The sequence below is a fragment of the Homo sapiens genome, chromosome 2, assembly GCF_000001405.40.
Source record: "Homo sapiens chromosome 2, GRCh38.p14 Primary Assembly".
NCBI classification, from domain to species: Eukaryota; Metazoa; Chordata; class Mammalia; order Primates; family Hominidae; genus Homo; species Homo sapiens.
The window spans coordinates 74,587,862-74,612,126 of record NC_000002.12 but is presented as its reverse complement, the minus strand read 5'-3'; the positions used below and the strand labels follow the sequence as shown (position 1 = coordinate 74,612,126).

Genomic DNA, 24,265 nt, shown 5'->3' with positions numbered 1-24,265 from the left:
GAGGTCAGGCGATCGAGACCATCCTGGACACGGTGAAACCCCATCTCTACTAAAAAATACAAAAAATTAGCCAGGCGTGGTGGTGGGTGCCTGTAGTCCCAGCTACTTGGGAGGCTGAGGCAGGAGAATGGCGTGAACCTGGGAGGCGGAGCTTGCAGTGAGCCGAGATCGCGCCACTGCACTCCTGCCTGGGCGACAGAGTGAGACACTGTCTCAAAAAAAAAAAAAAAAAAAAAAAAAAAAACACTTTTTTGTTGTTGTTTTTTTTCTGTCTGTTTTTTGTTTGTTTGTTTTGAGATGGAGTTTTGCTCTTGTTGCCCAGGCTGGAGTGCAATGGCGTAATCTCGGCTCACCGCAACCTCCACCTCCCGTGTTCAAGCAATTCTCCTGCCTCAGCTTCCCGAATAGCTGGGATTACAGGCATGCGCCACCACGCCTGACTAATTTTGTATTTTTAGTAGAGATGGCGTTTCTCCATGTTGGTCAGGCTGGTCTTGAACTAAAAAGAACTGTTTTGTTTGAAAGGATAAACAAAATCACAAACTTTTGGCTAGACTAAGAAAAAAAGAGAGATGAGTCAAATAAATCAGAGATTAAAAAGGAGACATTACAACTGATACCACAAAATACAAAGGATTATTATAGACTATTTTGAAGAACTATATGTCAACAAATTGGAAAACTTAAAAGAAATGGATACATTCCTGTATATACACAATCTGCTAAGATTGAATCATGAAAAAATAGAAAGCCTAAACAGACCAACAGTGAGTAATGAGATTGAATCAGTAATAAAAAGTCTTCCGTTGAAGAAAAGCCCCAGACCTCATAGATTCACTGCTGAATTCTACCAAACATTTAAAGAAGAACTAATAGCAATTCTTCTTAACTACTCTACAAACTTGAAGTGGAGAGAATTCTTCCAGACTCATTCTACAAGGGCAGCATTACCCTGATACCAAAACCGGACAAGGGCACAACAATAAAAAAGAAAACTATAGGCCAATATCTCTGAAGAACATAGATGCAAAAACCCTTAAAATATTTGCAAACCAAATCCAATAGCACATCAAAAAGATAATCAAGAGGGATTACCATAATCAAGAGGGATTTGTCCCAGGGGTGCAAGGATGGTTCAACATATGCAAATCAATAAACATGACACATCACATTAACAGAATGAAGGACATAAACCATCTTCATGGATGCAGAAAGAGCATTCAATAAAATTCAACATCACTTCATGATAAAAACTCTTAACAAAATAGGTTCAGAAAGAGCATACCTCAACACAATGAAGACCATATATGACAAACCTACAGCTAACTCATACTGAATGAGGAAAAGTTGAAAGTTTTTCCTCTAAAATCTGGAACAAGTACCAGGTGCAGTAGCTCACGCCTGTAATCCCAGCACTTTGGGAGCCAAGGTAAGAGGATCACTTGAGGATCAAGACTGGCCTGGACAACATAGTGAGACCCTGCCACTACGAAAAAAACTTTTTGGAAAAACTAGCTGAGAGTGGTGGTGCATACCTGTAGTTCCAACTACCCAGGAGGCTAAGGCAAGAGGATCCCTTGAGCCCAGAAATTCAAGATTGCAGTGAGCTATGATCATACCACTGCATTCCAGCCTGGGCAACAGAGCAAGACCCTGACTCTTAAAATGAGGGAAACAATTTGTGACATTGGTCTGGGCAAGGATTTTTTTTAATAAGACCTCAAAAGCACAGGCAACAAAAGCAAAAATAGACAAATGGAATTTTATCAAACCAAAAAGCTTTTGCACACCAAAGGAAACAATCAAAAGATTGAAGTGGGCCAGGTGCAGTGGCTCACACCTGTAATTCCAGCACTTTGGAAGGCCAAGGCAGCAGGATCACTTGAGTCTAGGAGTTCCAGACCAGTCTGGTCAACATGGTGAGGCCTCCATCTCTACAAAAAAAAAAAATACAAAAATAAGCCAGGCATGGTGGCATGCATCTGTGGTTTCAGCTACATGGGAGGCTGAGGCAGAAGGATCACTTGAGCCTAGGAGGTCAAGGCTGCATGCAGTGAGCCATGGTTGAACCACTGCACTCCAACCTGGGCAACAGAGTGAGACCCTGTCTCAAAAAAAAAAATAGAGTGAAGTAAGAGCCTACAGAATGGAAGAAAATATTTGTAAACTATGCATCTGACAAGGGATTCATATCCGGAATATATAAGGAACTCAAACAACTCAACAGGGAAAAAATGAATAATCTGAAAGCTGAATAAACATTTCTCAAAAGAAGACATACAAATGGCCACAGGCAGGTGCAAAAATGCTCAACATCACTAATCAGAGAAATGCAAATCAAACCCACAATAAAATATTACCTCACCCCAGTTAGAATGGCTACTATATAAAAGATTTAAAAAATAACAAATATTGGTGAGGAGATGGAGAAGGGGACCCTCCTTACATTTTTGGTAAGAATGCAAATTAGTACAGCCACTATGGAGAACAATATGAAGGTTCCTCAAAAAATTAAAAGCAGAGCTACCATATAATCCAACAATCCCACTACTGGGTATATACCCAAAGGAAATGAAATCAGTGTGTTGGAGAGATATCTTCACTCCCAGGTTTATTGCAGCACTGTGCACAGTAGCCAAGATATGGAATCAACCTGAGTGTCTATCAATGGATAAATGGATTTTTAAAATGTGGTATTTATACACATTGGAATACCATTCCTTCATAAGAAAGAATAAAAGCCTGTTGTTTGTGACAACATGGATGAGTCTAGAGAACATTATATTAAGTGAAATAAGCCAGGCACAGAAGGACGAGTACTGCATGATCTCACTCATTTGTGGAATCTAAAAACGTTGATCTCATAGAAGTACAGAGTTGAATAGTGGTTATCAGAGGCTGAGGATAGGGGGGAAGGGTGCATGAGGAGAGGTTGGCCAATGGTGCAAAGTTACAATTAGGAGGAATAAGTTCTGGTGTTCTACTGTACAATAGCATGACTATAGTTAACAGTAATGTATATTTCAAAATAGCAGAGAGGATTTTGAATGTTCTCATCACAAAGAAATGAGAAGTGTTTGAAGTGATAGATATGCTAATTACCCTGATTTGATCATTACACAATGTATAAATGTATCAAAACATCACACTGTACCCGTAAATGTGTACAATTATTATGTGTCAATTAAAAACAAAATAAAACTTTAAAAAATGGACCAAAGACCTTATCAGATACCTCACCAAAGAAAGTACACAAATGGTAAACAAACATGAAAAGATGCTCCACATCATATGTCATCAGGGAAATGCAAATTAAAACAACAATGAAATACCACCACATACCTATTAAAATGGCTAAATTCCAGAACACTGACAACACCAAATGCTGGTGAGGATGTGGAGCAACAGGAACTCTCCTTCATTGCTGATGGGAATGTAGAATGGCACAGCCACTTTGAAAGATAGTTTGATGGTTTCTTACAAAACTAAACATACATTTACCATATAATCCAGAAATCATGCTTCTTGGTATTTACCCAAAGGAGTTGAAAACCTATCCACACAAAAATCCGCACTTGGGTATTTATGGCAGCTTTATTCGTAATTGCCAAAACTTGGAAGCAACCAAGATGTCCTTCAGCAGATGAATGGATAAATAAACTATGATTCATCCAGACAATGGATTATTATTCAGCACTAAAAAGAAATGAGCTATCAAGCTACAGAAAGATATGGAGGGACCTTAAATGCATATTACTAAGTGAAAGAAGCCAATTTGAAAAGGCTGCATATATATCCCCAACTATATGACATTCTGGAAAAGGCAAAACTATGGTGATATAGTAAAAAGATCAATGGTTGCCAAGGGTTGAGGAGAAGGAGGGATGAATAGATAGAGCAGAGAGGATTCTTAGGGTGGTGAAAAGGCTCAATATGATATTTATTATACTGATGGGTACATGTCATTATGCATTTGTCTAGACTCATAGAATGTACTACACCAAGAGTCAACCCTAATGTAATCTGTGGACTTTGGGTGATTATGATGTGTCAATATAGGTTCATCAATTGCAATGACTTTGGTGGAAGATACTGATAATGAGGGAGGCCATGTATATGTGGGACAAGGGGTATATGGGCTATCTCTGTACCTTCCTTTCGATTTTGCTGTGAACCTAAAACTTCCCTAAAAAATAATGTCTTTTAAAATAATAATAATAATAATAGTGCTTTAATCTACATCCCTCTTCATGGATCAAAAACATCTAAGTACAAATGAGAATTGCATATGTTTAATGATTACCGTCCAGTCTTTAAAAGTTCAAGAGGAAACTCCTAATAATAACATACAGTGGCCAGTCATGGTGGCTCACGCCTGTAATCCCAGCACTCTGGGAGGCCGGGGCGGGCGGATCACGAGGTCAGGAGTTCGAGACCAGCCTGACCAACATGGTGAAACCCCGTTCTACTAAAAATACAAAAAAAATTACCCGGGTGTGGTGGCACGTGCCTGTAATCCCAGCTATCCAGGAGGCTGAGGCAGGAGAATCACTTGACCCCGGAAGGCGGAGGTTGCAGTGAGCCAAGATTGCACCATTGCACTCCAGCCTGGGCGACAGAGCAAGACTCCGTCTCAAAAAAAAAGACTAAAACATACATATGGTTTCTCCAGTCACTTTCTAGGGTCAGCTCAGCCTGATTGGAAAGGTCCTGTGATAACCTGTCCCACAAGAATCTGTCAGATAAAATTTGATTTTAAGTTACAGCCAAATCCTTTTTGCACTAAACATAATAGCCACCACCACAGACTTATGCTGTATTTATCCTCCGGGTAGGAACTGTTATGTTCCTCACTCTGTACATCAGGGAGAATAGACACATTGATTCTTGGATTTATTTTCAGATTACTATTCTGACTTCTCAGCCTGGAAAAGAGGTGGTCAAACAGTTGGAGGAAGGGTTGAAAGATACAGACCTAGCCAGAGTCAGGAGGTTTCAGGTCGTTGAGGTCACAAAGGGAATCCTAGAGCACGTGGACTCAGCGTCTCCTGTTGAGGATACCAGCAATGATGGTAAGAATTTTTTAACAAGGTAAAAAGAATTGTAAGAATTTTAATGAAAATGATGAGTTAATGGGTGCAGCACACCAACATGGCACATGTATACATATGTAACAAACCTGCACGTTGTGCACATGTACCCTAAAACTTAAAATATAATAATAATAAAATTTTAAAAAAAGAATCTTAATGAGCAGTCTTTTACAAGTCAGAAAGATTATTTTCCATGGTCTTTTTGTGTTCTTAAATGATAAAAGAAGCCAGCAGATTTCACTGAGGTTCAGACAGATGTTTCTAGATGTTGGAGTTGAATTTTTTAATAATCATTTTATTTCAGAAACAATATATCCTAATAATGAAAACTAAAATTTTATGGGTATGAAAAGTAAAAATTCCTTTCTCCCCTAATCACTTTGAAGGGATTGGGCTATCCCTTCTAACATTCTTTTATATATATATATATATGCACACACACACACTCTCTTAATATTTTAATTAACACTCAATATTTTATAGATACATATATACACATACACAACTAATTTACTGAAACCTTTGTTCATGTGTGTTGGACAGCTGTGTCAGTGTTTATAGATCAGACTCGTTTTTTAATGGCTTTGTATTGTGTTGTTTTACCATAATTTGTTTAATCACTAATGTAAACAATTTGGTTTATTACATTTTAGTATTATAAACAGTGCTGTATGAACAGACTCATATGCAGGGCTGGCTTCATGGGCTAATGACCAGGGGAGTCACACAGGGTCCTAAGTACAGAAAGGCCCCCATCCTTGAGATTTAATGCCCTGTGGCTTCTGTCTTAAAATTCTTAATAATTTTATCTTTGAATTTGTGCAGTTTGATGGAACAGTGGAGCATACACCAGGAGTTTTGAGCCTTGGCTCACACATGCCCTGCCTCCTGCTTCCTTCCCACCACTCCATAGTGGAGACCTCACTCATTTGCCAGCTTACCAGCCATCCAGTGACCTCTGCTGGCCTCTGTTCCCCCGGCTGGGCAGAAGCCTAGACACCTGTGTCAAGGTCCAGCACACATTCCTTTTGTGTTGAGTTGCCCAGGCATCTTTGAGGGTCTGCACTTGCTTGGCAAGTATCTGGTGCCGCCTGAGGAAGTGTGACATTAATAGCAATTTTTTTTTTTTTTTTGAGATGGAGTCTCGCTCTGTTGCCCAGGCTGGAGTGCGGTGGCGCGATCTCGGCTCACTGCAAGCTCCGCCTCCCAGGTTCATGCCATTCTCCTGCCTCGGCCTCCTGAGTAGCTGGGATTACAGGCACCCGCCACCAAGCCCAGCTAATTTTTTTGTATTTTTAGTAGAGACAGGGTTTCACCGTGTTAGCCAGGATGGTCTCCGTCTCCTGATCTTGTGATCTGCCCGCCTCAGCCTCCCAAAGTGCTGGGATTACAGGTGTGAGCCTCCGCGCCCAGCAGCAAACTTTTAAAAACCATGTCATGATGAAAAAGATGAGTAAGTTCTAGATATCTGCTATACAACATTATACCTAGAAATAACAATACTGTACTACTGTACATGTAAAAATGTGTTAAAAGGTTAGATCTCATGCATGGTGTTCTTACCACAATTAAAAAACAACATCCACACACACATACATACAATGACATCTTAAGAAAGAGACTATGGAAAAAAGGAAAAGGAAAAAGTTTTATATTTTAGTATTGTTGATGGCAGTTTTTTCCTGCTTTTTGAACAAAGGGCTCTGCATTTTCATTTTGCTCTGAGCCCACAAATTATGTAGCCTTCCCTGTTTATGTGTATAACTGTGCATTTGTGAGGATGTTTTCTGTGGAATAAATTCCTAGAAATAAAGTTACTAGGAGGTAAAACAGTATATGCATTTTTGACAGTTATTGCCAAAAAACTCTCCAAAAAGATCATACCAATTCATACTTCCACCAATAGTAAATAAGACTTTCCTAGTAGGAATTATCCTTGTTTGTTTGTTTTTTTATTTTTGCTAACCCCATGGGGAAAAAAAAAAGTCTAGTTTTGACTTTCTTTCACCATGTTAGCCAGGCTGGTCTCGAACTGACCTTAGGTGATCCACCCGCCTCGGCCTCCCAAAGTGCTGGGATTACAGGTGTGAGCTACCATGCCTGGCCAGACTTTTATTCTTGAATTATCTCCTAGGATTTTTTTGGAGAGAAAGTGTGGAGTGGTCCTACGTAGTGATCTTTCCCCTTGTTCCAGTCACTCTGTACCTTAATGACATTTTCCTTGATATTTACGTACTGAAAAATATTCATGTTTATTACAAACAAATTAAAAATGCAAATAAGCACAAATAAGTAAATCTAAGTTACCCACAATCCTACACTTCCTAAAAGAAGAAATACTCAAACTGTGTCTTAGAGCAGGGATCTCCAACCCCCGGGCCATGGACTGGTACCATCTGTGGCCTGTTAGGAACTGGTGATCACACAGCAGGAGGGGAGGGAAGGGTGGTGGCAAGTGAGCATTACTGCCTGAGCTCCACCTCCTGTCAGATCAGCTGTGGCATTAGATCCTTATAGGAGAGCAAACCCTATTGTGAACTGTGCATGTGAGGGATCTAGATTGTGCACTCCTTATATGAGAATCTAACCCCTGATGAGCAGAGGTGGAACAGTTTCATCCCAAAACCATTCCAACCACACATCTGTGGAAAAATTGTCTTCCATGAAACCAGCCCGTCATGCCAAAAAGTTTGGGGACCACTGGCTTGGAAGACAAGTAGGAATTAGCTAAGCAGAGGAAAAGGAAAAGGGCCACTCAAAAAGGAGACCCAGAGACATGAGAAGCAAGATATGCCCAACTTTTGAGAAATGCCCATGCTTCCCTACACCAGAGCCTGTCAGGCAGAGGTGGGAGTGAGGCATAAAGGTAGGCAAGGGTTAGATGGAAATGGCCATCTATACCATGCTAAAACATTTGGATTTCATTCTAAGGCAGTGGAAATGTATGAAAATATTTTAGTCAGGAAGTCAAGTGGAGATCTCCAAATTATGGAGTTCAAGGGCTTTGGGACCAGTTTTAATTCATCCAACATTCAAGTTACAGTTCACCCTCCTGCAGTCCTTTTGGGCTGTACTGGCCTTTTTCATGGTTATGCATACATGGAAGTGGCCACTGTTCTGATACCATCGATTTCTTTCTGGTCGCGTGCAGATGACTTCACTCTTCCTCCCCCTCCCATCTCACCTCCCTCTAATTAGGTAGGAGGGAGGGTTGGTTACTAAGGGTGTGGTTCCTGTCAGATTCTGACACATGTGGATCCTTCCACCATCATGCAGCCACTAACATTGTTCTGGCAGGGGAGGGAAGGCAACCAGCCTTAGCCATGTGATTTGTGAGCTCTCACTGTGTGTCCTCCTGTCTCTTCACTGACTGTCCTTTCTATCTCCATCCCTGTACTCATAGCAGTCTTTTCCTCTAAATTCCCTCTTCTTCTCTCTGAATTCCTTCCTCTATTCTCTTCCAGCCAAACCCTACTCATTCCTTAAATCCTAATTCAGGTTCATTACTACTGTATTCATTTTCCTCTTCTTAGAACAACCACATCACTTCTTCTTAGAACAACGACATCACTTGTGGTCTCTACCACGTAATTTAGCACTTAATTATATAGCATGTAGAATCGTTCACCATTGCTTTATTGTGCAATAATTGTGTCTTCTCGCCTAAATTGTAAACTACTTGATATCTTTTCCCTCTGCATTAAACTGTAAGCACCTTGGCATTAGAAACTTGTCTTACTCATTTCTGTGTCCTGGTGTATATCCTACATTATCAGTATATATTTGTTGAGTGAATCAATGACTTTGATACCCATGGAGGCTACTCTTGGTCTGCCTAGCATCCTCTATATCCCCTTTCTCTGGTAACACCTCCACCTTCCTGGTCACAGAATGGGTCATGACCCAGGTTGAGGCAATCATAGTTCCCTAGGCCACCAGTCAGAGCCCTTCTCATTGGGTTCTCAAAATGAATCTGTGAGAGAGAAGCTCTTTTTCTCTCTTTGGCCAGTGACAGATCAGGCATGGACTATGTTCTTTTCTGCCTTCTGTGACTGTCACCAGAAAGAACTTGTTATGTCTCTAATTGCATAGAGCTTAGAGTACACTAAGGCTGCCTGATGCCTTTCTTTAGAATAGTTAGTGGCTAGCATTGTATAGAACAGCTTTTAAATGCAGGAAAGCAGCTTTCTACCTGTGTCAGTGCTGATGACTCTTCCAGTAACTTCCCATTTGCTTCTGAATAATGCATCCTTCCATAAATCGCTTGTAATTCCTCTTTGTGGGTTAAGTGTATATGACTCATTGCTCAAAATCTTCCTAGTTTGCCTGTGCTTTCCTCATAATTAATTGTTTTATTCCCTTAGTGTTTTACTTCATCTTGGTGTTGTTATCAAGACATTGGCAACAGCAGCTTCTCTCATTCTCAGAAGGATGTGTGCTCCAAAATTAGGTTGCCCAAGTCTAAATTGCAGTTTCTATAACTTTCTAGCTATGCAACTTTAGGCAAGGTATTTAGCCTCACTAAGCCTTAGTTATTAATTCCTACTCCATGCAGTAGTTGTGGGAATTAAATGAGATCATGTAAGTTCTCTATAAAAGTTAGCTATACTTATTATTAATATTTTTGAAAATTTTTGTATATGGATGGTTTGTTATATTTCTGAGATTTGTTTTTAATGGCCAGGTCTCAAGTGAACTGTCAGTTACCTGGAACTAAGACTGTGTCTTATATATCTTTCTATCACTAACGATTATCACTCCACTTGGCACACAGTAGATTCTCAATAAATGTTTTTTGACAAAACAAATGAATGATTGAAAAAAAAACAAATGATTTGTGTGAGTGATTGGGGTCAACCTCTGTGACATCGGCTAAAATAGTTAGGGATATGTCCCAAACAGCCATAACTTCCCTCGATAACTCATGAATATCATAAATTGATTCAAACACTTCTTAAATCTAGTTATAATTCTTTTACTCCAATAGCCATGATCATCAATTAAATACAAATTATCTATAGTCCACTTTTCAGAGAGAAATACATCAAAAGCAAATGTTGATATTGCAGATTCATTTATAAAATGAGAATGTGTCCTTCAATCAGTCTAAATGCTGCCTACTTTAGTACAGTTCTGCACAGTGAAAGCTAATTATCACAAAAATGACTTAAGGACCCTGCAAGATCCAGGATCACTGTAAAAGAATGAATTTAGAAATTAAGAAAGTAGACTCACATCTTAGAAAGTTCTTTTACAGGATCTAATATGAAAAGGTTAGCTTTAAATTACATTCACATTAGTTAAGGTTTTCTATAAATTTTAACCATATAGCCTATTATATATTTTCTTCTAACTGTATAAATGGGACTTCCTTTAATATGTTCCTGGTCTTTTTCATTTTATTCTTTAAAATTTTGCTGAAAGATCCTGTCCAGTGCTGTTTGTAGTAGCTTTTGCCTGGCTATTTTAAAATTTTTTATTATGCATTATACAAATGTAAACATTATAGAGGCATAATAGAGACAGTTCAAAATGACCCCAAATTCCAGCCTCCAGAGATAACTACCATCAACATTGTAAGACACATTCTACTGAATTGCCCTCCTTACACATGCATGTATACTGATATACATGTAATATTATTATTGATATTATTTACTTTGACAAAAAATGAGACTATACCATACCAACTGCTCTGCTTTTTTTTCATTTAGCTATTTATCTAGGATTTTTTCCGTATTGGCACATAGAGATCTAACACCTCCCTTTTCATAGCTATGAAGTATTCCAATGTATGAATTAATCATCATTTATTTAACTATCCTTTTGGGTTTTTACATTTTAGTCTAGAACTATGTAACCTTGAACAAGTTAATTTAACTCTTTATTCCACAAATTTCTCATTTATAAAATAGGGCTTTATAAAATAGCTTGTTTTATAAAGCTCATTTGTAAAATAATAGCTACTTTATGGGGTTTTTGTGATGATTAAATACAACTTGCATGGAAAGAAAGCACTTATAACAGTGCCTGGCACAAACAAATAAATGTCATCTACTGATATTAATAGTAGTAGAAGTCCTTCTTATATATGCCTTTTACTGAGAAAATTTCAAGCTCTAATAATTCGTATTTATTAAGAATATAAGACTATAATTTTTAATGTAAAATTTCTCATTTCACCACCCCATTGCACTTTTATTTTTGCACATTGCTGCTCAGTTGTTCACTCATGTTTATGTTACATAGTTATAATTCATGTATATAATTTTTTGTTTTCATGTAACATAATATTATAAAACTTTTTCCATAGTTCTCATAGCCTTTCTTTTCTGTTCATTCTCTATTTTGTTCCTCTTTCCTCTTTTCCTCTTGAAGGAGAACTAGGAACTGTCTGTTCAAGAAATAGAGATAAGAAGATACATACCTCTCACAGGGAAAGCCAGATGCTTTCTTTGTCCTTAAATGCCCTCTTTACATATAAGCCAACCCTACAACCCTAGAACAGATCCCTAATGCTGGATCTTCATCATAAATTTAGGATAGAGGAGAACCTGCCAATTCTAGCAACCAATGTTAACCCCATAGAAGAGCCATAAATCATGGGAATAATGCTGCTAGCTTTGTTTTTAAATAAATTCTGAGCCTTGAGGAAAAGATATGTGAACTAAAGCCAGTCTCTTAATATTCTAACATTTGTTTTTAGGTCATAATTACGGCAACATTTTACTGAATACTTACTGTTCAAATACTTTCTGTTCTAAATAGTTTCTACATATTATCTTATTTAATCCTTGTTTATCTAGATGAAAAAACTAAGGCATATTTTCTTGTCTATAATAACTTTCCCAGGGTTTTTCAGTTGAGATAGAAAAGGATTCACATCCAAGTAGTGTGCTCCAATGGCCCCATGCTTAACTCTTCTCTATACTGCTTCAGTTGAAAAGAACAATAGAGATCAACAGTTCAGGGCCAGGTGTGATGGCTCATACCTGTAACCCTAGCACTTTAAGAGGCTCAGAAGTTTGAGACCAGCCTGGGCAATATAACAAAACCCTCTCTCTACCAAAAAAGTTTAGGCACGCTGAGGAGGAAGTATCTCCTGAGCTCAGTAGTTTAAAGTTATAGTAAGCTATGATCGCATCAGTGCACTCCAGCCTGGGTGAGAGCAAGACTCCACCTCTTTAAAAAAAAAAAAAAATCCTGTCAGAGTTTTTAGATGAACTTGACAAGCTGATTCGTGTGTGTGTGTCTGTGTGTGTGTATTATATATAGAGAGAGAATATATATTCTAGAATATATGTATTCTATATTTTAGAAGTAAAGATACATATTAGGGCCAGGGGTTTGCCTTACCAGATGTTTAGATGGTTTATAAAGCTATTCTAATTAAGATAGTGTCATATTTACATAGGAATAGACAAATTGTCCAAACTGGAATGGATTAGAGAAGTCCAGAAACAGCCACATGAAAACTTGATATGTGGCTTGGCTGACATGGCAGAGCAGTGTGAAAAGGGTGGATTTAGCCATTAAGTCATATTGAAACTATCAATATTCCATATAGGAAAAAATATTCCTACCTCACACCATTTATAATAATGTTTTTAGATGGATTAAAGACTTCAATGTGAAAAGTAAAATGTAAAACTTTAAAAAAAAAAGCATAGGAGAAAATTTTCATGACAAGGGTTGGGGAAGAGGAAGAAGCATTTCCTAAATAAGACATAAAGTTTGCTAATCATAAAATAAAAGATTTTTGACAGAGTCTCTGTCACTCAAACTGGACTGCAGTCGCATGATCTCAGCTCACTGCAACCTCCACCTCCTGGGTTCAAGCAATTATCATGCCTCAGCCTCCCAACTAGCTGGGATTATAGGTGTGCATCACCATGCCCAGCTAATTTTTTGTATTTTTAGTAGAGACAGGGTTTCACCATGTTGGCCAGGTTGATCTCGAACTCCTGACCTCAGGTGATCCGCCCACCTCGGCCTACCAAAGTGCTAGGATTACAGGCATGAGCCACCGTGCCCAGCCCATATAATAAAAGATTGATAAGTATAACTACATTAAAATGAAGAATTTCTGTTCATCAAAGTATACATGAAAATGGCTGGGTGTGGTGGCTCATGCCTATAATCCTAGCACTTTGGGAGGCCAAGGCAGGAGGATCACTTGAGCCCAGGAGTTCAAGATCAGCCTGAACAACATAGTGAGACCTCATCTCTACAAAAAATAAACAAAATTAGCCAGGCATGGTGGCATGCACCTGCAGTCCCAGCTACTCAGGATGCTGAGACAGGAGACTTGAGCCCGGGCGGTCAAGGCCACAATAAATGAAGATCACACCACTGCACTCCAGCCTGGATGACAGAGCAAGACTCTGTCTCAAAAAAAAAAAAAAAAAAAAAGTTGATATACAGAATAAATATTACAAGGAATGTTTGGTGGAATATCATACATTTTTGAAAATGAATGGTCCACAGCTGTAAATAACAATGTGAATGCATCTTTTCAATATTGAGAAAAAAGCAGATAGAGGTGTATACTATATGATACTTATTTATAAAGCTCAAAACTAAAATTATAAAGTGTTATTTAAAGTAACAAAACTACTTTTATTTATTTATTTATTTATTTATTTATTTATTGACATGGAGTCTCGATCTGTCACCCAGGCTGGAGTGCGGTGGCGCAGTCTCGGCTCACCACAACCTCCGCCTCCCAGGCTCGAGCCATGCTCCTGCCTCAGCCTCCTGAGTAGCTGGGATTACAGGTGCACACCACCACACCCAGCTAATTTTTGTATTTTGAGTAGAGACAGGGTTTCACCATGTTGGCCAGGCTGGTCTTGAACTCCTGACCTCAAGTGATCTGTCCACCTTGGCCTCCCAAAGTGCTGGGATTACAGGTGTGAGCCAGCGCATCCAGCTACAAAACTACTTTTAAAAAGAAAGAAATTATAAAAATAAAAGTCAACGTGGCAAGATTTCTGGAGAAGATTAGGGAAAAGCATGCAGATATCTCAGGAGTATTGATGATGTTCTACATCTGAAGTTAAATAAAGGATTTGTGAGTGTTCACTTTTGTTGTTATGCTTCATAGCTTACATTTTTATTGCATGTATTTATTGGCATACAATAAAAGTTTTACAATAGTTTTGTGAAGAATGACTAAGTAATAAATATGTCAAAACTAAAATAGCCACTGAGATCAATAACTTTGGCATCCACAGGGCATCTGTGCAGGTTGACAGCAGTCTGCACTCACTGGGTATGTAAGTCATTCAGCCAATTACAAATCAACCTAATGATGCTGGCAACTAGTCTACATCTCTCAGTCATACACAAGGATATCAGGTTCCCTTTCTAAGTGCTCGCAAACCATCTGTTTAATATTTCCTCCTAGACTTTGCCAGGGATCAATGTCAAGCTCTTTTGGGAAGGTATTTTCTCCATATGTGTTCTCAGGAAACACCAAATGTTAACAACCCAAACATAGAAGATAAAGATTCATTGCTTCCTAAAGAATGCCAGAAAAAAGGGCTGGGGGTGGGGTGGGTAGCCTCTTCTATGCTTCAGTGCAATTGTCAGAACAGATACTGATTTTCTCCCTTTCAGTGTCTTAGAAAATAGACCAGAAAACACAGCTGTTCATTGTGTCTGCCTTTGATAACTGCATTAAAGTCATTTCCCTCTGACATTAAGACTAAATTAGAACCACTGTTGTATTTATTACCTAAAGATTTTTAACACAGAGAGACATTTGTTTATTTCATTAACAGAAGCCATGGTCTCAGAAAAATGGCAGATTTTTCTCTTTAAACTTGAGTTAAATAATTTTTTGAGTTCAGTAGAAAATCTAAAAGTATTTAAAAATTGAAATTTAAAAAATTTTTCCTTTCCTTCCTTTATTGGGGAATAATTTACATACCATAAGTTGCATCCATTCGAAGTATACAATTCAGTGAATTTTGACCGATGTATATGCCCACAAATCATCATCACGATCAATATACAGAACATTTCCCTCATCCTCAAAAAAGATTTTTCTTTCCCCTTTACACTCCATCCATCCCTCCAGCCCCAGGTAAGACCACTTAACTGCTTTTTGTCTGTAGGTTAGTCTGTATTTTGTGTAGGTGGAATCCTAAAGTACACACACCTTTTGTGTTTATATTTTTTAATTCAGATTTTGAGATTCAGCTATGTTGTTTATATCAGTAGTGCGTTTTCTTTTTATTGCTGAGTAGTGGTATATTGCATGAATGTGTCATATTTTGTTTAAACATTTATGTATTAATGGATATTTCTATTGTTTCCAGTTTTTGACTATTGTGAAGAAAGCTGCTATGAATGTCTGTACACAAATCTTTGTGTGGATATATGTTTTCATTTATCTTGGGTCTTACTGTTTGTTGTTGTTGTTGTTGTTGTTGTTGTTGTTCTTTTGAGATGGAGTCTCGCTCTTTTGCCCAGGCTTGAGTGCAGTGGCGTGATCTCGGCTCACTGCAAGCTCCACCTCCCAGGTTCACACCATTCTCCTACCTCAGCCTCCTGAGTAGCTGGGACTACAGGTGCCCGCCACCACGCCCGGCAAATTTTTTGTATTTTTAGTAGAGACAGGGTTTCACCATGTTAGCCAGGATGGTCTCTATCTCCTGACCTCATGATCCACCCACCTCAGCCTCCCAAAGTGCTGGGATAACAGGCGTGAGCCACCGCGCCCCGCCATCTTACTGTTTTTATGGTTCATCCTTTCCCATCCATTTACTTTCAACTCATTTATGTCTTTATACTTAAAGTCTCTCTCTTATAGACAGCATATAGCTGGGTCTTGCTTTATGTCTATTCTGATCATCTCTGGCTTTTATTTAGAATGTAGAGTCCATTAACATTTACCATACATATTCATATAGTTGGACTCAGGTCTACCATTTTATTTTCTGTTTGTCCTGTTTTTCATCTTTCTTCCTTGCTTTCCTGCTTTCTTTTGGATTATTTAAATATTTTTCAATTTCATGTTAATTTATCTATTGTCATTTAGCCATTCATCTTTGCATTTTTTCTGGTTTCTCTATGGATTACAGTATATATACCTAACTTTTTACAGTCTACTTAGAGTCAATATAATACCATTTAATATAAAATGTAGAAACTTCAGGATTACAATATTCACATAAAATGCAAAGACCTTGTGGGAATTAAAATGTATTTTAAAAACTCTTTTACAGCCTACTCAGAATTAATATATATAGTACCATTTCATGTAAAATATAGAAAACTTGCTATTAAGTCCATTTACTGCTCCCATTCACATACACTATCTTTCATGTTATAATTGTCATGTGTATTACATCTACATAAACTCCACAAGAAAAGTGTTGAAATCTTTGCTTTTAGCCTACAATCCCAGCACCTTGAGAGGCCAAGACAGGCAGATCACTTGAGCTCAGGAGTTCAAGAGCAGCCTGGGCAACATGATGAAACCCCATCTCTACAAAAAATACAAAAATTAGCCTGGCATGGTAGTGTGCACCTATAATCCCCGCTACTCGGGAGGCTGAGACAGGAGGATCACTTGAGCCTGGAAGGTCAAGGCTGCAGTGAGCCATGATCATGCCACTGCACTCCAGCCTGGGTGACAGAGTGAGACCCTGTCTCAAAAAAAAAATTGTTTTTGCCTTTAAGCAAACATGTATTTTAAAAAACTTAAGAGGGCCAGCCATGGTGGCTTATACCTGTAATCCCAGCACTGTGGGAGGCCAAGTGGGGAGGATTGCTTGAGCTCAGGAGTTTGAGACCAGCCTGGGCAGCATAGTGAGACTTCATCTACAAAAAAATCAAAAAATTAGCCAGGTGTGGTGGTGCACACCTGTAGTCCCAGCTACTTGGAAGGCTAAGGTGGGAGGATTGCTTGATGTTGTTCCACTGTCTTCTGGCCTTTCATGGTTTCTGATCAAAAGTTACAGTCTCTAACTCATTTTTCCCTGTATGTAAAGGATCATTTTTTCTAGCAATTTCAAGAAATTTATCTTATGTTTATTATTCAGCATCTTGACAATGATGTGTTTAGGTGTGAATTTCTTCTAATTCATCCTATTTGGGATTCCCTGAACCTCGTGAATCTGAAAATTGATTATCTTTTTTATTTTGAGATAGGGTCTCACTGTGTCACTCAGGCTGGAGTGCTGTAGCGTGATCACAATTCACCGCAGCCTCTCTACCTCCTGGGCTCAGATGATCCTCCCACTTTCGTCTCCCAAGTAGCTGGGACCACAGGCTCGTGCTACCACACCCAGCTAATTTTTGTAATTTTTTTTGTAGAGATGAAGTTTCACCATGTTGCCCAGGCTGGTCTCAAACTCCTGGGCTCAGGCAGTCCTCCCATCTTGGCCTCTGAAAATGCCAGGATTACAGGCATGAGTCACCATGCCCAGCCTGTAAATTTACATCTTAACCCAACTTGGGAAATTTTCTGCCATTTTTTTTAAATATTTTTTCGGCCTCATTCTTTCTCTCTATCTTTCTAGGACTTCAATTACCCAAATGTTAAATCTTTTTAAATTGTTCTGCACAGCCCAAGACTCTGTGACTTTTTGCTTGGTTGGTTGGTATTGTCCTATCTTTTCATTTTTTATGAACATATTTTCTATTCCTCATTGAGCAAATTCTAATTATGCCACTTCAAAATCCTTGCCTGATAAATCCAACATCTCTGTCATCTTGGGGTTTGCATCTGTTGACTTATATTTTCCTTTGAGACTGAGTCATAGTTTTCTGTCTCAGTGTGCCAAAACATTTGGGTTGTATTTTGTGAACATTGTGTTATAAAGACTCTGGATTCTATTATATTGCTCTGAAAAGTGTTGATTTTTCAGAAAATTAACTTTGTTAAACTCAAACTGCAACCTGTTGTGCCTGCAGTGAGCAGGGACTCAGATCTTAGTCTCAATCTTTAAGCCTAAACTATAAGCTGCTTTCAGTTCACCCCATATGTGTATAGTGCAAGGTCCAATCAGCTATTTACCTAGACTGAGTTTAAACACATAATTTAGGGCGCTCCGGCTCTGGCTCTCTCCTTTCATGGATTTCTTCCTCACTCTCTGGAGGTCCTGGTTGCCCCAGACTCCTTACCCTGGCAATGCTAGTGAAAGACAAAGGCTTTTCTTTCCAATTTTTAGCTGCCTTCACACTATTGTGACTGCAGCCACTCTTAGAAAGTGCAAAAACTGGGGAACTCATTCCTTGCTGGTTTACTTGGTTACTCCAAGTTTCAACTCCTCTCCAAAGTCTGTCTACTTTTGTTCATTCTGCAGAGCCTTCAGGTAGTTGATTTTTAAATATTGTTCAGGCCAGGCATGGTGGCTCACACCTGTAATCCCAGCTCTTTGGAAGGCTGAGGCAGGCAGATCACTTGAGGCCAGGAGTTCAAGACCAGCCTGGCAAACATGGTGAAACCTTGTCTCTACTAAAAATACAAAGCTTAGCCAGATGCAGTGGTGCACACCTGTAGTCCCAGCTACTCAGGAGGCTGAGGCATGAAAATCACTTGAGTCTGGAAGGTAGAAGTTGCACTGAGCCAAGATTGCACCACTGTACTCCAGCCTGAGTGACAGAATGAGACTCTGTCTCAAAAAATAAATAAATAAATGAATAAAATATTGTTCAGAGTTTATAGCTGTTTTTTACAAGAAAATCAGTTTGTTGGGTACTGGAACCTAACCAGACTGGAATTCCCTTATTTACTCTTTTTCAATTTGGTTCTTTCTTTTTACCTCCTTTTCTGCCTTCTCTTCAGCTCAATAAGCTCACGTTCTCCATCATATCTCTCACTCTCTCTCTTTAGGAGATTTTTGCTTAAAAGAAGTTCTTCTGATTAAATCTCACCTTTTCTCTCCTCATTCCCCATCCCCTAACACGTTTGACAGCACTGCTTTACTTGGCAAATGACTTGTGTTGCCACTACCCAATCTGGGGACAATCTGGCCACTTTCTATCTGAAATCAGCCCCATCATATACCCAGCACTAGAGCATTAGTTAGTACAGTGCAAGAATTGATTGGGACACAGCTATATACATATTCAAGGTCCAGAAATAGGCACGAATATAGATATTAATTTAGCATAGGATAAAGGAGACATCTCAAATCACTAAGGCAAAGATGAACTTGCTCAAAAAGTAATGCTGGGACAACTGGTTTAGCCATCTGGAAAAGATTCCAAATGGACCAGGGATCCAAATGTAAATAATAATATTAAAAGTATTAAAAGAAAACATTGGTGAATTTCTTTACAATCTCAGCATAGATAAAGGTCATCTAACTATGACTCAAAATCCAGGTACAATAAAGAAAGATTTATTTATTTAACTATATGAAAATAAAAATCTTTGGCATGGCAAAAAGTACCATAAACAATGTCAAAAGACAACTGAAAAACCAGGAGAAAGTATTTGCAATTTATGCCATGGGAGAAAAAAAAGACTAATATCTCTAATATATAAAGAACACTTTAAAACTGAGGAGTAAGAAAAAGACCAAAAACACTAGAGAAAAATGGAAAAAAGTCATAAACACATAATTCAAAAAAAGATTTTTAAATGGTCCTTAAACATGTGAAAATATGTTCAACCTCACCCATAATTAGAGAAATGATAATTAAGACTATACCAAAATATTATTTCCTACCTATTATTAGATTGGCAAAAGTTAAAAAGTATGACACCAATAGAAGTGGCATGTGTTTATTTTTAAACACAAAATTACCTATGTGTTTTACTTCTATCCCTAGAAGTCACCAGCCCCACTTCTAGGAATCTAATACCCTGAAGATACACCCCCAGATCTACAAAAATGCATGTATATACACAGAGTCGGTTGCAAAGCTATTATACAGTCTATCTAGGATTTTTTTAAGAATATGTCTTAGGTCTGGGCTCAGTGACTTATGCCTGTAATCCCAGCACTTTGGGAGGCCGAGGTGGGTGGATCACTTAGGTCAGTAGTTCGAGACCAGCCTGGCCAACATAGTGAAACCCCTTCTCTACTGAAAAAAAATAAAATAAAATAAAATAAAAAGTTAGCCAGGCGTGGTGGTGGGCGCCTGTAATCCCAGCTACTCAGAAGGCTGAGGCAGGACAATCACTTGAACCTGGGAGATGTAGGTTGCAGTGAGTTGAGATCACACCACTGCACTCCATCCTAGAGGACAGAGTGAGACTCTGTCTCAAAAAAATAAAAGAGTATGTCTTAGGACTTTCTTTGATTTGAGCGTCTTCTTTAGCTTTTCCTTACTCTACTTAGCTCCCCCAAGTAAGTCTTTTCTTTCATGGCTCCACTTACATTTATTTTCACCTCAAGGCAGCTCTTTCTTTCAGTTCCCTTAGGTGTAAGGAGTCAAAACTGCTTGGTGTGGTTCTTGGGTCATGTCAAAAGATTTAACGCCTTCCTAACTCTGCTTTCTTCTTAATTCAAACTTCTCCTAAATAACCCATTCCCCTGCTCCCTCCCCCACCACAGTGCCTATGACAATATTTCTTCCCAGCTTTTCAATTTTGCATTGCAATTTACATTAAATGCTTTTTGGTTTATAGAATATATGTATTAGTCCCTGTAGAAAAAGAAGACTTTTAAAATACCTTCTAAGTCTAATGTTTCTCACGTCAAAAAATACTTCAGACTTTGGAATATTTCAATCAATAGTGATCAATCTCTTTTGCATATAAGCTGCATTTTTCCAATAAAATGAAAATGAAGCCATTGAGACCCATAGATAAAATATATTTTCTTACAACTTAGATCTTTATTGAAGAGAAAATTTTCAGCAAAAGAAATGGCACTGGCTTTTAGTGAATAAAATGTTCATATCTACTACATAGACAGCTGGGAGGCGGCTTTATACTCTATCATCCCTTATAGTTGCATGGTGCTTTAAAGTCCACAAATTGCTTTCAGGAGTCAAGTGTCATTATTTCATTTTCAAGTAAACCCTTAGCCTAGGTATCACTATCATTCCCACTTTACAAATGGAGAAATTGAGCTTAAAGAGATGAAGTGACTGGCCTAAGGTCACAGAGAAAGTAAGCACCAGGCTGGCTAGTTTCTTCTGTTCAATATAACGTTTACTGAGCCCCTGTTGTATGTAAACACTGCGCTAGTGCTGTGGGTACAGAGGTAGATAAGGTGCTACAACTGGTGCCAGAGGCAGGTATACCCTGCCTTAACCAGGGCCCTTCTCTCCCGTACCTGCAATAACTTCTCTCTGGACTGTCTAGGGCAGAGCAAGTCACTCAGTTCAAAGTGGGATTGGCAATCCGGGAACACTTCCGTGGCTCCAGAGGTGAGGGGTGCAGTGCAGCTTCTCTCATAGGGCAGTCCCCACTTCTGCCCTCTTAGAAACACACAAGCCTAAGAAAAAGATTATAAAAAGGCTACTCTCCCAGCCAAAATAATTGCTCTCTAAACTTTTTCTTACCCAATTCATCTGTTTACTAAAGGCTGAAATACTACATTTGAAATTGTAGTATTTGGGACCTATCTTAGAGCTAAGGGAGTCTGCTATGGTCTGAATGTTGTATCCCGCCCCCGCCCCCCCTAAAATTCATCTTTGAAATCTAATCACCAAATAGATAGTATTAGGAGGTGGGGCCTTTGAATGGTGGATTAGGTCATGAGGGAGGGCAGAATCCTCCTGAATGGGATTAGTGCTTTTATAAAATGTTCCCTAAGGAGCTTGTCTGCCCCCTCCACCATATGAGGATACAGTGAGAAGGGGCCATTTATCAACCAAAAACAGGTCCTCCCCAGACATTGAATCTGCCAGCACCTTGATCTTGGACTTCCCAGCCTCCAAAACGGTGAGAAATATATTTCTGTTGCTTATAAGCCACTGGTTTGTGGTATTTTGTGATAGCAGCCCAAATAGAACCCACTATTCCCTAGTCAGAAATTATGTAAATCAAGTTTGTCCAACCTGCTTCCCGCAGGCTGCATGCAGCCCAGGACGGCTTTGAATGCAACCCAACAAAAATTCGTAAACTTTCTTAAAACATTATAAGATTTGTTTTTAAGCTCATCAGCTATCATCAGTGTTGATGCATTTTATGTGTGGCCCAAGACAATTCTTCCAATGTGGCCCAGGGAAGCCAAAAGATTGGACACCCATAATATAAATCATCCATTGTGAACCATTAGTTCTTTAGTTAACAGTCAATTATTTTTTTCAGCCTGCCTTAGACTATATTAGCTTGATGAGGGCAGGTGAATGGACAACTGCTAACAATAGAATTCCCTGGGTAGCTGACCAGAGCTGGGAAAGAGGCATGTCCACTACAGGCTGAAGGATCTCTGCTTGAGCTCTGCTCATGGAACTCCCAGATTCCTCTTCCCTCCTTCCCCACTGCCTGCCAGCACCACACAACAGGAAAGCATAAGCGGTAAAGCTGGGCTGGGACATGTGGCACCTTACACAAGCTGATAGCTTGGGCACACCTTCAAACAAATATTTTTAAAATGCTAATTCAGTAGTTGTTTAGAAGCTAAGAGCTACAAAGAAAAAGAGAAAGAAAAAGGAACTTGCTTTACTCTGCCCCACTCTTGCACAGTTCCTGAGCAATACCAAATTGCAATAATGGAACCCACCCTTCTTCAAAGCAAGTGTAGTGACCCCTGTTGATACATGAGTGTGCCACTTTGGGGGTCTTGTCCTTCACCCCAGCAGCTTATTAGCTAGTCCTCACTTCCTTCCTTATTCTGCTTTAGTCTTCTGGCTAATCCCCCAACACAAAAAGCTCATTCCCATCTCAAGACCTTTGAACTTGCTCATCTCTCTATAAGAAACAATCTTCGCACAAATGTTTTTATGACTCACTTCACGTCATTCAAGTTTCTGCCCAACTGTCAGCTTCTTAAAGAATACTTCCCTGGCCAGCCAAGCTAAAACTTCACATGCATGCACGCGCGCGCGTGCACACACACACGCCCCTTTATTTTTCTTCATAGTATCTATCATCTGAAATTGTATTCTGTTTTATTTGCTTGCTTATTATCTGTTCTCTCACTAGAATGTAAGCCACGAAAGTAGGCAATTTGTCTCTTTTCTTGATGACACCAATAAGTGCCTAGCTCATAAAAGACAGTAAACTAATAAGTGCTTGAATGACTAAATAAATGAATGACTAAGCAAATGAATGAATGACAACAGTTCTCTCTCTCTGAGAAGAGTTCTGGGATATAAATTTTCTCTATCTCATTACAGTTATGGTGATGTTTTGACCCTCTTACAGACTGGGGCTCCAGGAAGATAGTCACCACTAGGTCCATTCCTGCAGTCACCTCTCTGCCCTGAGTTCACATGTTGATAACCACTACCACCACCCCTGCCAACTCTTTTCAAGGGGCTTCTCCTTTTTCCTAGGGTCCAAGCATCACTTCCACAAATGAGGCAAATGAGCTTAGAAAGACAAGCTTGACTGCCTCACCGTTGTAAGCTGTTAGATTATTCTCATGTTGTGTTGATTTAAAGACAATGGTTGGATGATGCTGCACTGCTGTTCCTGACTAAGCTTTATCTGCTGTGATTACTTACCCTGGTTGTTAACATCCTATAGCTATCCTGTATTCAGAGAGTAGACAGCTAATTGTAAACCAACCCAGGCAGGCTAAGATACTGTGACTCTATAGTCTCTGTAGTGGTTCTTGACCTTTTTGGGGTCATAGAGCTCTTTTGAGAATCTGATAAAAGCTAGGGGCTTTCCCCCTTCCCCCACCCCACCAAAATACATCTATGCATGTACAGATGAATTGTATATAATTTCAAGGGGTTCTCAGAATGTCTGAAGCCCATCCATGACACCCAAGTACAGGCCTCATGAATGTCATTCGGAAAGGAACAGGTCAGGCCTAGAGGTTAGGGCCCTGTGAGACGGGGGAAGATGTGGAGGACTGGGCAAGAGCACCTTTTCCTGGGCCTCTACTTTCCTGGGCCTCTATATTTTATGTGAAGAGAGAAATACAGACATTGTATATGCACGTATGTATGTTAAAGTCTCCTATTTTAAACACACTTTAATTTTATAACCCTATTTTAAGGTTTCTTCTGAGAGGGTCTACTTCAGGTATTACCTAATCTTCAGTCATTTGGCTTTCTTAGTTTTTTCCCATTGTGGCCGC

At 39.1% G+C, this 24,265-nt stretch overlaps 1 protein-coding gene across 13 annotated transcripts in view; it reads left to right on the top strand.

The window, feature by feature from the left end:
* Nucleotides 1-24,265, top strand: part of M1AP (meiosis 1 associated protein) — a 90,448-nt gene that overhangs the window by 36,204 nt on the left and 29,979 nt on the right. For all 13 annotated transcript variants that reach the window (XM_047443432.1, XM_047443431.1, XM_047443430.1 and 10 more), the window contains exon 4: nt 4,904-5,072. In XM_047443432.1, the coding sequence (XP_047299388.1) occupies nt 4,904-5,072 (169 nt within the window). The remainder of the gene's footprint in view (nt 1-4,903; nt 5,073-24,265) is intronic.